Raw genomic sequence first — 14,423 nt, forward strand, 5'->3', positions numbered from 1 at the left:
AGGTCCGAACTGGAGTGCAAGCACACCTGCCACTGGAGCCGTGTTATCTCACGGACCTCATGAGGTTGTAGGTGTCAGCAGTGGGACAAGATGCATCATAGGGTGGAAATTGTATATCTAAGATCAAACCTAGGCAGGACTGGAGGATACGCATGAGTAATCCACATAAGCTGGTAGCCCAGACCCCCATGTCACCCACCGCGGCTATACCAGCGCTCCTGCCTCAGCTCATATTTATGGCCATATTGGAGTGCTGACACACTGATCTGGGGTTACTCACTCACATCAGGCACTGGATGAGTACAGTGTCCTGGGCTAAAGTTGATCTATCCCAGACCCTCACCTTCAGCAGCATCAGTGGCCCTCACAGCAGCTCTCCCTCCTCTGTATTCCTACTTAGTGGCAGCTGTGGCCTGCAGCACCCAGAAACAGTGAGGTAGAGGGAATGGCAAGCATCCATTACCCTGTGCTCCATCAATGGCACTGTCACCCCCTCTGTAGGCTCTGTGCCATGTGTCAGGTAGTACCCAGGGCTTGTGAGACATCACTCCAAGTTTCCAACCAGGTATGCTCTTGATTCCAGTGGATGTGATGACGTTGTGCTCTCTCAGGGCTTAGGCTATGCCAGAGGAGGGATGAACATTCCTTGCTGAATGAGATCCCTCTAGCTGTTCCACCCAGGGCCTCTGGCCTGTCCTTTCCTTTGGTGATGGAGTGTAGAAGGCAGGCGTGGAGTTAACACAGAAAGATTTAACTTTCTGTGTTAGGCAGGCATGGAGTTAACCCTCTGAAAACACAGGATGCCAGTCTAAAGAGTGAAGAGAAAATGTGGTTGGAAGATGTGTTCTTCTACCTTTACATCATAAATTTCAGAACAGTGCATTTCATGACCAGAAGATGAATTACTGTTCACATTTTTCTGCATGCTCTGGATAAGATTTGCAATTGTGATCATTGCCAATGGAAGCACAGTAACAGCTTTCAGAGGGTCAGTGGAAGCCAGTATGGAAGATATACGCTGGACAAGGCAGCCTCTTGAGTGATGATGTAACTACCATTAAACACATGGTATCAGGGAACTACAGAGGTATGATCTGTGTTGCTTCAATACAAAAAAGTGAAGAAGAGCCACGGCACTGCCAGTAATAATGACGTTCCATGAGAGATATACAAGTAGCCAGAACTTTTGCCACTAAGAAGAAACTTCACACTGAAAGGACAATAGATAAATATGTAAATGCATCTTGTCTACCTATCACTCTAAATCAATTGATCAGTGTATACATCACCATGCCTCATGAATTTTGTCATAAATTTTTAATCAAATTGTTTATGCAGAGGATTCACGAAAATGAGAGAGATAATCTGCCCTGGATTAATCAATGACATTTACCAAGCTCTAATAAGAACAAGAATTGTGCTAGATACCATGGATACAATAAAGAACAATGCACAAATGGACTAAATGTAACTCACTGTCTAAACTGGTAGCAATGCATATAGACAGACGCAGGGTGTCCTGAGCAGGGACATAGGAAGGGGTGATGGAATGAACACCCAGCGATGGTTCCGTACTGATGTTCCCAGTTGAAGTCATCAAAAAGGTGACCACTCCACAGGAACTCCATTTGAGGGCCTTGTTCAATGGGACTTTTCAGCCATCCTCCCAATCCAAGTATTTTCTTCACCTATTAAACTTGTCTTTGATTAGCTCTCCATTGGTCAGAGATTCTGTGAGATACCTATGAAAAGATGGAAGTGACACTTACATATGCCTATCCCAACAGCCTAGCTGGAAATCACCAAAATGAGGCAAGAGAACAGGGTTTTTAGTGAACCTTTTTCCTGTGTGCCTGTTCTAGTTGAAGAATCTGGGTTTAATAGACCTAGAATTCTTTATAAAAGAATTCTTGCCAGGCCAGGCGTGGTGGCTTACGCCTGTAATCCCAGCACTTCAGGAGGCCAAGGCAGGTGTATCATGAGGTCAAGAGTTTGAGACTAGCCTGACCAACATGATGAAACCCCGTCTCTGCTAAAAATACAAAAATTAGCTGGACGTGGAGGCACATGCTTGTAATCCCAGCTACTCAGGAGGCTGAGGCAGGAGAATCATTTGAACCTGGGAGGCGGAGGTTGCAGTGGGCCGAGATCGCACCATTGCACTCCAGCCTGGGCGACAGAGTGAGACTTTGTCTGAAAAAAATAAAATAAAAAAATAAAGAATTCTTGCAACCACACCTCACAGATCACAGTTCCAGAACTGCTGCAGAAGAAGGTCTTTCTGAAGAAGGTACAAAGGGGAAAGATAAAGGTGCTGGGTTTTATCTCTGGTCCTGGTCAGAATCAACTCAGTCTTTACCAACAGGGATTGTCCCATCTGTCATCCTTGGTTACACAAGCCCCATCAGGCAGAATGGGGGAAGGACTGAGCTCTGGGCCTGGTGAGCACCACTGAGCGCCCCACTGCTACTTCAGGAATCGCCTATCAGGCTGGTGGGTGGGGTAGGAGTGAAAATAATCAGCACCAGTTTTGGAGTCCAGTCTAGAAGTGGCATTTGACCAGACCCCCCCATAGCTCTTGAGGGTCTTTTCTGAGGACCTTTACTGCAGTCTATGCAAAAAACCCACTCATAGTCCTCAGTAACTTCCAGTCCTCCAAAGCCATACAGTGTGGTCATTTTACTCATCCTCTAGGCTTTCTTTAGTTATTCATGCAAAGATAGGCCTGGCCTTGGGTGTCTGTAGCGAGGCCACAAGGCCTTGGATCAGAACAGCAACGTCAGGGAAAACAAAATCCAAGGGGCTGCCCAGTCCAAGGGCAAACTGGGAGTCTAGTCCCCATCTTGTAACCACGATCTCTACCTTGCGATGCTGCAGGGGCACCTCTTCTGCCTTTCACCTAGGCTCCTGGCAAAGGCCTTGCAAAGCATTATTCAGGGCACTGTGTGAGGCCAGAGAAGGAACTGAGGAAGACCACACCCATACACAGAGATGAAGAGTGTGGAGTGACAGGAAGGCGGGGCTTGAGCTGGTGGCAAAACGGGAAAAGTTCCCTTATCCCCGTGGCAGGGCTTGCGATGGAGGTGTGGCTGGCTTCTTCTGTGCCCCGCTGCTCAAACCTGTAGGGGGAGCATGCAGATGGGCAGGTGGTGGGGCTCCAACCCCACAGCAATGTCTAAGGGTGAATGTTTACAGCTCCTGAGGTCCCAATGGGCCTGTGTTACAGGATGCTGTTTCAGTTGAGCCATCCCTAGTCAGCTGTTAGACCTCCTGCCTTATTCCAAGGACAGAGGCTTTCTGTATCCTGAGGTTTCTTGCCTCCGTGCACCAAAAGAATCAGATCACACATGGGCTTGGAGAATGAGTGCAAGGTTTTATTGAGTGGAAGTAGCTCTCAGATGGGGGAGCCAGAAGGGAGACGGAGTGGGGAGGTGGTTTTCCCCTCTGAAGTCGGACCGCTCCGTGGCCAGGCTGTCCTCCAGCTGCACTGAGTGGTTCTGCCTGTCGATGGCCTGCCAGCCTGCCGTGGGCCACTATCAGTCTGCTCTTACACCGGTGTGTTCCTCTTGACGTCCAGAGGCTTGTGTGCGTGCCTGCTAAGCTCTCAGGTTTTTTTACAGGCACAGAATGAGGGTGTGGTAGGCCAGGGTAGTCTTGGGAAATCCAACATTTAAGCACGAAAACAGAAATGCCTGTCCTCACCTAGGTCTGTGGGCACAGGCCCGGGGGTGGAGCCCTAGCCAGGGACCACACCCTTCCCTTCCCAGCACTTCCCCGCCCCCCTTCCGTATCAGTAGCTTGAGGGAGTTACTTCTCAGGGAGATGTTTTGGTTTTTAGGGAGAAGACAAAACCTCCAATTTGAAAAACAAAGCGAGTCCTTTGGTGAGGGAAACACTGGACACACAGAGGGCGGGCTGGAAGGGCAGGTGCTGGGAAGACAGCAAGGAGTGCAGACCCACTGGGGAGGCAGCCTGGGAAGATGTTTATTTTCTGAGAGACGAGGAAAGACTGGGAAACGGAGAAATTTTTAGGGTGGAGGGTGGGAAACTTGGGAAACAGCAGATGGTCTTAATCTTCTGAGAAAGGAGGCAGTGCCAAGCCTGGCTGGGGCGACAGTGGGAGTGTGGGCTGAGGGATGGTGGGGACATCCTCTGCTAGCTGCTGAAGGTCTAGGATGGGCACTGAGGCGAGCCTCAGCGGTGCTCCCCGGGCTTGCCTCCCAGGAGGGACCCTGCAGGAAGGTGTCCAGATGCAGAGCCCCAACTCCTCCCCCAGAGACTTGGATTCAGTAGAACTGGGATAGGGTCCAAAATCTGTATCATTAGGACACTCTCAGAGTATACTTGTCATCAGGCAAAGCCTGGAGAAATAGCAAAAAGAACCGTTAGCCCCAGGGAGAGCCCACTGGAGGCTGGAAACGGGAAGTATTGGGGAATCACTTAGTATCCTTTATCACAGACTCTGCTGCCCAGAACCCTGGGGGAGAAAGCTGACAGGGGAAGGAGTGTGTAGCCACGTGGGATGTACCCAGGAGGGGAAGGTATCTCCAGGAGGGTAGAGTCCATCCAGGAGGGTGAGGTCTAGTTGGGGGGATGGGGTCTACCCAGAGGGGTGAGGTCTGGCTGGAGGGGGGATGGGGACAGTCCAGGAGGGAGAAGTCTAGCTGGGATGATGGGGTCTGTCCAGAGGATCAGGTCTAGCTGGGTAGAAGGGGTCTACCCAGGAGAGTTCTGGTTGGGGAGATGCATCTACCCAAGAGGGTGAGGTCTAGCTGGGGGGATGGGATCTGTCCAGGAGGATGAAGTCTAGCTAGGGGGATGGGGTTTACTCAGGAGGGTGAGTTCTGGTTGGGGAGATGGGTCTACCCAGAGGATGAGGTCTAGCTGGGGGGAGAGGGTCTGTCCAGGAGGGTAAGGTCTCTCCATAGGGTGCTTTGGGAGGTCTGGGGCTTGGGGTTCCTGTGATCACAGCCCAAATATATGACTTGGACCCACACTTGGCAGAGACCAAGGTGAAGACAAGACAGGACTGATGGACTCTGAGGAAAGAGCGTGGCGGGAGCAGGGTCAAGAGCGAGAGGCCAGAGTGCAAGGAAGTGGGAGGGTCTGAGGTGGGATCCCAGAGTGGGAGCTGGGGAGCTGGAGTGCTGGAAATGCTTCTCATGCTGGAGAGGCCAATCCTAGGGCTTGGTTAGACTAAGTGCGTTTAACTGGGGCAGCAGTTTTACACATGTATTTCAGGAGGAGATGATTTTATCATAAACACATTCCACTGATTCATGTGAAATCATTAAAAAAATTAAGGTCAAGGTTTTTTTCTCCTGGCTGCTTTAGGCTACATGCCCAGGACTCCTGTCCCTCTGTGGTGAGGGGATTTGGGTGGAAGAGTTTGAGAAGCTCTGCTGTGGAATCCTCTCCTTTTTAAATAAAGAGGGACACTCCAAGCCTGGCATTGAAAGGCACACCTCTCGGTGGAAGCAGTTGGCCAGGTTTTGATCCCTTAAGGATTGGAACCTTATGAAATTGCCAAGATTGGACCATGTTTGACTTGTGTAAATAGCTTCTTCCTGTGATTCAGTCTGAATTTTAGACTCCAGGTCTCATCGCTGCCTCCACCATGTGGCCTCAAGGGGGCGCCGCTCCGCCTCCTAAATCCCCAAGGACAAAGCCCACTTTCTTGGCTTCTGGAAGCAGCGCGAGGGGTCATTGGTGGAAAGAAGACTGCTGTATTTAAAAAAGGAAGCAAGCAGAGAGGAACATGAATTCAATTAGAACAGTTCCTTGTCCCCTAAAATATGGTCCCCAGACCAGCAGCATCAGCACCCCCTGGGAGTTTGTAGAATTCCTGGACACTAACCCAGATCTGCTGAACCAGAATCCACAGTTTAGCAGGACTGCCCAGGCTCTCCTACGTATGTGCGCATAGCAGAAGCACCAGTCTAGCCAGCCAAGAGTCTGCTTATTTGTCACCTGCCTTTCCAGCCCCAAGCAGTCTGGGCCCCCCTATCACTTCCCCTGGGGACACATTATTAGACCCTCCATTCTTCAAAATCAACATAAGGTGTGGCTCCCACAGGAACATGTTCCTGTCTAAAGAGCCTCCCCTTCTTTCAGAAAGTATATTCGTTATCTTTGCTGTGTAATAAATGACCCTAAAACAGAGGTTTAAAACAATAAACATTTATTTTTGCCATATGCTGTTGGTTAGAAGCAAGTCACTAATCCAGCCCAGGCTTCAAGGGAAAGGGATCACACCAGGGCCTGAATACCAGGAAGCAGGGATCACTGGGGATCATATTCCAGGCAGCCTACTGCAGGGGATAATCTCCACTCTAAGGGGCAGGCCTCAACAGGGCAGCCACATCAGAATACAAGAAAACCTCCAGAGTCATGTGGTAAGGACGACATGCATTCAGCAACAGGATGCTTGAATAAGCCTTTCAACTGTGGCTTGCAGAATGGCCACATTAGTATCAGTTGGGAAACATTTAAAAAATACCAATGCCCAGGCGCTACGCAAGACCAGTTAGATCACAATCTTCAGGGCATGGGTTTTTTCTAATTTTTAAATTCCCCAGATAATTCTATTGCACAACTGAGGTTAAGAACTATGGCTTCAGGCCAGGTGCGGTGGCTCACACCTTTAATCCCAGCACTTTGGGAGGCTGAGGCAGGCAGATCACCTGAGGTAAGGAGTTTGAGACCAGCCTGGCCAACATGGTGAAACCCCATCTCTACTAAAAATGCCAACAAATTTAGCTGGGCATGGTGGCGCGCCTGTAATCCCAGCTACTTGGGAGGCTGAGGCAAGAATCACTTGAACCCGTGAGGCGGAGCTTGCAGTGAGCTAAGACTGTGCCACTGCACTCCAGCCTGGGCAACAGGTTAAGACTCCGTCTCCAAAAAAAAAAAAAAAAAAAAAAAGACACAGAACTATGGCTTCATATGAAAATTTTCAAATGCTACAGTGAAGTAGTGGTAAAGATTACTAGTGCAAAAGATGATGTGAGGCTCAGCAGCTTGGACTTCTGCTGGGGAATCTGTGGATTGGAAAAGTGGGCCTTAAAGAGTGTTGGAACCATCTCGGAGGTGAGCCAATAAGGCTGACAAGAGATTTATGACTTTCTATGATTGCCTATCTTAGCAAAAGTCCCATCAAGTCATGATGCTGGGGAAAATACATCCAAGAGTTAGGAATACAGAAAGAAAGGAAGGTGGTGGGAGGAAGGAAGGAAGGAAACCTATATGAAGCCAATCTGAAAAGGCTTCATGATGTATGATTTCAACTACATGACATTCCGAAGAAGGCAAAGCTATCGAGGCAGTAAAAAGGTCAGTTGTTGCCAGGAGTTTAGAGTGAAAGAAGGGACAAACAGGTGGAGCACAGAGTAGTTTTAGGGCAGTGAGACTACTCTGTATGATCCTGCAGTGGTGGATAATGTCATTATACAGTTGTTCAAGCCCATGGAATGTACACCACACCAAGAGTGAAACCTAATGTGAACTATGGAGTTTGGGTGATGATGATGTGTCAGTACAGGGTTGTTGATTACAACAAAGGTACCATTTGAGTGGGGACATTGCTAATGGTAGAGGCTGTGCATGCATGGGAGCAGGGGGCATATGACATATGCCAAGTTTCCTCCAAATTTCGCTGTGAACCTAAAAGTGTTCTTAAAAAATAGTCTTTTTTAAGAGACAGGGTCTTGCTCTGTTGCCCAGGCTAGAGTTCAATAGCACAATCACAGCTCACTGTGGCCTCAACCTCCCAGGTTCAAGGGATCCTCCTGCCTCTACCTCCAGAGTAGCTAGGACTATAGGCACACGCCACCATGCCTGGCTAATTTAAAATTTTTTGTACAAACAGGGTCTCACCACGTTGCCCAGGCTGGTCTCAAACTCAAAAGCAATCCTCCCACCTTGGCCTCCCCAAAGTGCTGGGATTACAGGTATGAGCCACTACACTTGGCATTTATTTTAAATAAAATTTTTTAAAAAGAGACAAAAAGAAACCTATCTATTGTTAAAACTTGTCCTCAACTCCAGCTGATGACTACAAAGAAATGGAAACAAAATGAAGACTCAATAAAAGTGCCCATAATCTTCTAGTCTCCAGTCTGTAGAGACACAGAAGGTGAGAACTGGAGAGGCCTTAGAGGTCAGCTCACCAATGCCTTTGTTTTGTGGTTGAGGAAATCGAGACATGAGGTCACTGGGAGGTAATGGCCTTGCTAGGATTAGAACTCACATCTTCAAACCTGAGCCCAGTGCTCTACCTGAAGACTTTCCACATACAGGGCATGACTGTCAATGGGGCATGTTGGACTCCTTCCTGCACACCAGCGCGTGAGAATGAGGCATACTGAAGAGTTAGTCAAGGGAGAGAACATGCACCCTCTTATGGGAACACCATGGCCTTTCACATAAATGTTTCACTGAGGGCTGGTTCACAGGAGGTTGGTGGTACATGACCAGTACTGCAACAGTTAATTTACTCTGTCTCATGGGAACAAGTCAATAGGTTGATCGTAGTCGCTGAGTCTAACATGCTCCCAGCTTGAGCTGCACCCACTCTGTAAACAGCCCCTAATGGTAGCAGCTTTACCCACAACAATAAAACGGCTCCATCTTCAGGCAAGTCCAACCTTTACCTCTCCTCCCTGCCCCTCGCCTGCCTGATTTTAGACACTGTTCTCATTCCCAGGGACCGGGTTGCTCCCAACTTGTTGCCATAGCCACAGGCCTCACCCAAAGCATACCAACGCTGTAATGCTCACAGATCTTGGCAGACATCCAGGCAGATGCAGAGCAGTTGGGGTGAATAACGTTCTCCTCTGAAAGCTGGGCCAAGGCTGTTTGGTTGCACTCTCTCCGCTGTCGGCTTGAGTCTTATAGAGCTGTCCATTTGGCTGCCTGGCTGTGAATGAGCCATGGTTGTTAATTTCTTTCCCCTGCATCAGCTTCTTGGGAGCCTCTAACACAAAACTTAAACAAAGAGCTAAATCAGGCTGTTCCCAGAGCTCCGGACCCTGGCTGTTTACCAAACACTGAAAACGTTACCAGTTGCCACCAGTCCCAAATCTCTAATCTCTTCTATCTAAAAGTCGTGAGGAATGTTGTCCCGAGAGGTCCAGGCCTGGCCCATCTGTGATGCTCTTGGGTGTCCGTTTCAACATCGCAGTCCTGTGAGTTGAAGTATCTTTTCCAGAGAAAGAAATGAAAGACGGGGGTGGGGAGTGGGGTGAAGGAGCACATGGCAAAATAGAGATGGAATCCCTTCAAAAACAAAGAGGAGCCGTCCATGTGCAGCGTGTTCACCCTTGGATGATTTATATTGGCCCAGTGCTCCAGTTCATGGCAATTACAAAGAAGGAGGGAGTGTCAGAAGGAATCTTCCATGAATACCAACAGTACCAGCCAACATCTGTCCCTTGGGGTGGGCAATCTGCTCCAGCCTGTTCAGAATTCTACTTAGAATTCTCAAATGGGACAGTGAACACAGAGGCACTCTGTAGGTTAGAAAACAGTGCATACTGGTAGAATGTTGTTTTCATCAGGCATTCCCTTCGCTCCTCCATTGGCGCTCATGAAGTGAGTTAAGTCCCTCGGCCCCTGCCCCAGGGTATGTGCCCACATTGCCATAGAACCTGCCTGGTAGGGAGAGGGCTCACAGACCTTCTCCCACATGAGAAGGGATTAGGATGGGGGTGGGCAGGGGCCACTTCTGCTGATGAGAACACAGCAGTTCCAATCTCCCTGGAACTGGCCCCCAAGCCCCCTCTCCCCAGTTGCATTTCTGCATTGATTTCCTGCCCAGAGATACTTCACCCGCAGTTGCCACGTCTTTGGCTAAGGAGTTGCTTTAAAAGAGAATACAAGATTTAGATTTAGCTGCCTGGAAGAGGAAGGTGTTTTATTCTTCTTTAAAGGTAGTCTGGAAAATTACCACTTTAGTGGGGGGAAAATATACTCTTCAATTAATAACATAAAAACGAAGCTGGGTGCAGTGGCTCACACCTGTAGTTCCAGCACTTTGGGAGGCTGAGGTGGGAAGACTGCTTGAGCCCAGGACAAGACCAGCCTGGGCATCATAAGGAGACCTCATCTCTACAAAAAAAACCTTGAATTTTTAAAATAAAACCATCACTACGACTAACTTTTAACAACACACTCTAAGAGCAGGGGAAAAAAAATCCTGGGTACTAATGCTGAAAATGCATATATTCCAAGGAATGGTAGCCATCATATCCCCCGTATGAGACAGAACGATTGAACCAGATCCTACACAGCTTGCCTCAAATCCCTGGGCAAGACTTGCCACAAATCCTGAACTTCCCTTCATGTTGTCTTTCCATAATTCCTTCTCCTCCCAGCACCAACATCAGTCTGATTTCTAATATTTAAACCACCAGAAGCTGGGCAGAGCCCACCCAGGAAGAATTCTAAAATGTCATTAACAAATACAGCCTGAAATGGCTTCAGAAGTTGCTGACACTCTGTTGAGACAGTGTCTTTTGAAAGACAAGGACAGTTGAAAACTTCTTGCACCACTGAAGGCGGCGCCCTCCTGCACGTTAACAGTTTCTCCCTCCACCACACAGTTCGCTATCTCTCCATCGCTGGCATTCATACGGCCTCACCCATCTCCCCGAGGGACAGCTGCTCCCAGAACCACCCTGCAGCTGAGCAGCAAGATGAGCAGAATTTTCCCTGTGAGCAGGAGACAAGGCTAAAGCTGCATGTGTGTCAATCGTGAAAGCCCAAATCAGGAGACAGATTAGGACTCTAAGGGAGCTCCACTTACCGAAGACCATCTCCCCAGGAGAACAGGCACTGAGGGCCGCCCACCCCCACCACGCTCTTTTCTGAACAGATAAAGGGAAACTCACATTTTTTTTTTAAACTGAGTTTTGAGTCTTTGGGAAGCTCGTATGCAGTTGACACCCGCTGACTTCTGGAGACATTTAAAAAAAAATTAAAAGCATATTAGGGGCCGGGCGCGGTGGCTCACGCCTGTAATCCCAGCACTTTGGGAGGCCGAGGCGGGCGGATCACGAGGTCAGGAGATCGAGACCATCCTGGCTAACACAGTGAAACCCCGTCTCTACTAAAAATACAAAAAAAATTAGCCGGGCGTGGTAGCGGGCGCCTGTAGTCCCAGCTACTCGGGAGGCTGAGGCAGGAGAATGGCGTGAACCCGGGAGGCGGAGCTTGCAGTGAGCCGAGATCGCGCCACTGCACTCCAGCCTGGGCGACAGAGCGAGACTCCGTCTCAAAAAAAAAAAAAAAAAAAAAAAAAAAGCATATTAGGATGTGATGTGGCACAGCAGATTTGGAGTTCAAAGGGTGTCAGTTCAGATGTGGGTCTGCCACTGATGAGCCAGCTGCATAACCCTGAGAGCCTTCAGCTCTGGAGCACGTGATAGCTTCCCCTGCAGGCTTGTGAGGCTTAAAGAGTACCCATGACAGGCAGGGCAGCATCTGCTATGCAGGAGGTGCTCCACACACCTGCTCTGAATGAGTGAATGTATTTTCCATGCCTGTGACACAGTAGTCACTCAGTAAGTGTAGATTTTGTCCCTTTCTTTTCCCAGATGAGCAGCCACCATAGAGAGTTGGTTTCTGTAGTTCAATCTCTCCATCAAGCCAAAAACATAGCTTCTTAGAGGGACCAGGCCATCTCTGCAAGGTATCGAGGGGGCATCTGCAAAGAGTTTCCATCCTGGCTCCTGTCACTAGCTATGTGTGCAGCTCTGCACGCAGTGGTCTAGTCCCTCTTCCCTCATTCCAAGCCTCATTTGCTCACAGTGAAAATGAAAGAGCTGGACTAGATTCATAGCTGTCGACCATGGTCTATCATCCAAGCCCTTTGTTTGTAAGAAATCTGATACAGCCCCATTAAATAAAATATTTCAAGAAAAGGGGCCAGTGCTTAGGCCTAAGTCAGCTCAGCTCTCCAGCCCACCTGCTCTTAGAGGCTGACCAGAAGGCACACCCCGACCCCCACACACAGGAGCCCCTAGGGTTCCTTGGAGCACAGTTAGAGAACCATAAGACCAGGTTGTCTTTAAATCTCCTTCCAGACCTGACACTCCACGATTCTAAGTGTTTACAGAGTAACTGCAGCACATTATTGAACCTGACCAAATTAACTCAAGCCTGATGTGTAACACCTATCAGAAAGAATACAGCCAGGGTCTCTCCTTCGTCCCCAGCTCCTCAGCCCTGCTGCCTGGGCAAAAGTTACTCAGCATGAAGTCCTTTTTGACTGGTTTCAGCTTGAAACCCTACAGTATCAGGGACAAGAGGAAGTAATATAAAAAAATACTTGCAATCTTATCCTGAAGACAGTGTCCCGTGAACATAAAGCAATTAAAGGAGGCTGTAGAAATAAGACCTGCAATAAATTAGTATGAACAATAGGTGTGGAAAGTGGGGAAAGGGCATCGGGCAGGAAACGCCTAATCCCAGGTTGGCATGACCTTGGGCAAGGTGCCAGTGTCTCAATGACCTTGATGGTAGAGCTGAACCAGGTCACCTCTGTGAGAATTATCTAACCATAAACTTCTGTGACTCTAAGTATTGCATGGCCAGGCACGGTGGCTCATGCCTGTAATCCCAACACTTTGGGAGGCTGAGGCAGGCAGATCACCTGAGGTCAGGAGTTCCAGACCAGCCTGACCAACGTGGTGAAACCCCTTCTCCACTGAAAATACAAAAATTAGCCGGGCACCTTAGTGTGTGACTGTAATCTCAGCTACTCGGGAGGCTGAGGCAGGAAAATCGCTTGAATCTAGAAGGCAAAGGTTGTAGTGAGCCGAGATCACGCCACTGCACTTTAGTCTGTGACAGAGTAAGTAAGACTCTGTCTCCCAAAAAAAAAAAAAAAAAAAAAAAAGACTTGTAAGTACTTCAGAATGTTTATAATGATGTTGTCAAATTGTCAAAATTGGCATATTCCAGCTACTTAAGTTTGTTACTCCTAGATATTCCTCAACTGTAACATCAGTACCTATCTTAGGCCATCGGCAGGGAGTGAGCTGACTGCTCCCCAGGGTCTCAGGTAAGGAACAGATAATGGTTTTCAGTTTGTAAGCTCAGCATGAGCACTATCTCCCAGAGGCCTCTGGGCATAAATGAGCACTTATCAAATCCACGAGAGGCAAACAGCCATCTGCAGGCTGGCAGAACTGTCTGCAAGGATTTGCTTGACACAGATCTCTGGCTGGGCTCATGGTATCAGAGGTCCCCAGGTTTATTGTTTTTAACGATCATTTTTTTCACCACCTAAACAGAAAGACCCTGTAGTTGAAAGCAAGAGGAAGCAACAGAGAGAGGCAGTGAGAATCAAATGGCTCAGTTAAGCCTCGGTGTGGCTGGGCTAACGCTTTTTCAGGTCACTCTTACAAGGTAATCCATTCGCCTGAAGAGGCATGCAGCATCTTGAAGGAAGGGAACCGTTGTGGCTAGGTGATTGGGTGGAATGGCATTCCCTCTGGAATCTGATTGCAGAGCCTGATTTCCAGCTTGGTCCCCTGGTCTTCTTTAGCTTTTGACTTCCAAAGTCTTATTAGAACTAGCTAGGTGGCCCCTAGATTTATGTATCCACTTTTGTCAAAAGCAGGCTACGGAGATGGAGCCTAGTAAGGAAAATAAAGGTAAAGTATTATGGCATTCACTCATTAGGGACAAGATGTCCTCTGGTGTACGTCACAAAGCTTTCACCTGCAAGTGACACTCAGCTCAAACCACCTTTAAAAACAAGGATATTCTAATCTCAGATAAGAAGTCCAAGCAAGTTCCAAGGAGATTAAAACCAGTGGTTCAGTGTTGTTGTCAGGAACATAAATTCCTTCAAGCTCTGGGCTCTACCATCCTCAGAACATTGGTTTTGGCCTTAGGCAGCTCATCCCATGTTTCAAGATCCCTCAGCCCTCCTGGTTTCATAACCACATCGGCAGAGACCACTTCATGGTGACCAACCTGTCATGCTGCACAAGGCCTTGTGCTTAGAAGGACCCACACTTGGCTTAGTGCTCTACCATCACCGTCTTAACATCCTTAGTCTTATCTGTGAACTTGTGTTTTACGAGTGAAATCCTATGGGGACAGTGGAGATGCATGTGAGCAGAGGAGATGTACGCAGTATATATGTCCTCCTTTCCTGCTGTCCTATGTGCAGGTCATGTTGGGGATCCCCATAAGCACAGAATTCCAGGGACCCACGAAGCATGGGAGTCAGTGAGACAGACTCAAAGCCAGCACATTAAGCCCACAACCAAGTAAGTGGCAGCACTGACAGCCCTAAGAGGCCATGCTTTTTGTCCAAATCAGAACTTGCTCTGAACACAAAGAAAATAGAGCTCTAAGAAAACACAGAAGATCAAGCAACCCTACTCTATTCTTTTGAACACGTGTTACTT

The 14,423-nt window shown here is 48.4% G+C and overlaps 1 long non-coding RNA gene across 1 annotated transcript in view, besides 1 other annotated feature; it reads right to left on the bottom strand.

Moving 5' to 3' along the window:
- Positions 2,785–3,734: an enhancer, noted in NCBI's record as "NANOG-H3K4me1 hESC enhancer chr6:6694456-6695405 (GRCh37/hg19 assembly coordinates)". NCBI's record gives its function as "activates a minimal SCP1, AML or CMV promoter by ChIP-STARR-seq in primed H9 embryonic stem cells {active_cell/tissue: H9 hESC(primed)}" and the evidence as "EXISTENCE:reporter gene assay evidence [ECO:0000049][PMID:30033119]".
- The window catches only part of LOC101928004 (uncharacterized), a 106,380-nt gene continuing 95,310 nt past the window's right edge, over positions 3,354–14,423 (bottom strand). Inside the window, exon 5 of the long non-coding RNA NR_187687.1 lies at positions 3,354–5,724. This is a non-coding gene — a long non-coding RNA (uncharacterized LOC101928004). The remainder of the gene's footprint in view (positions 5,725–14,423) is intronic.

Source organism: Homo sapiens, chromosome 6, assembly GCF_000001405.40.
Source record: "Homo sapiens chromosome 6, GRCh38.p14 Primary Assembly".
NCBI classification, from domain to species: Eukaryota; Metazoa; Chordata; class Mammalia; order Primates; family Hominidae; genus Homo; species Homo sapiens.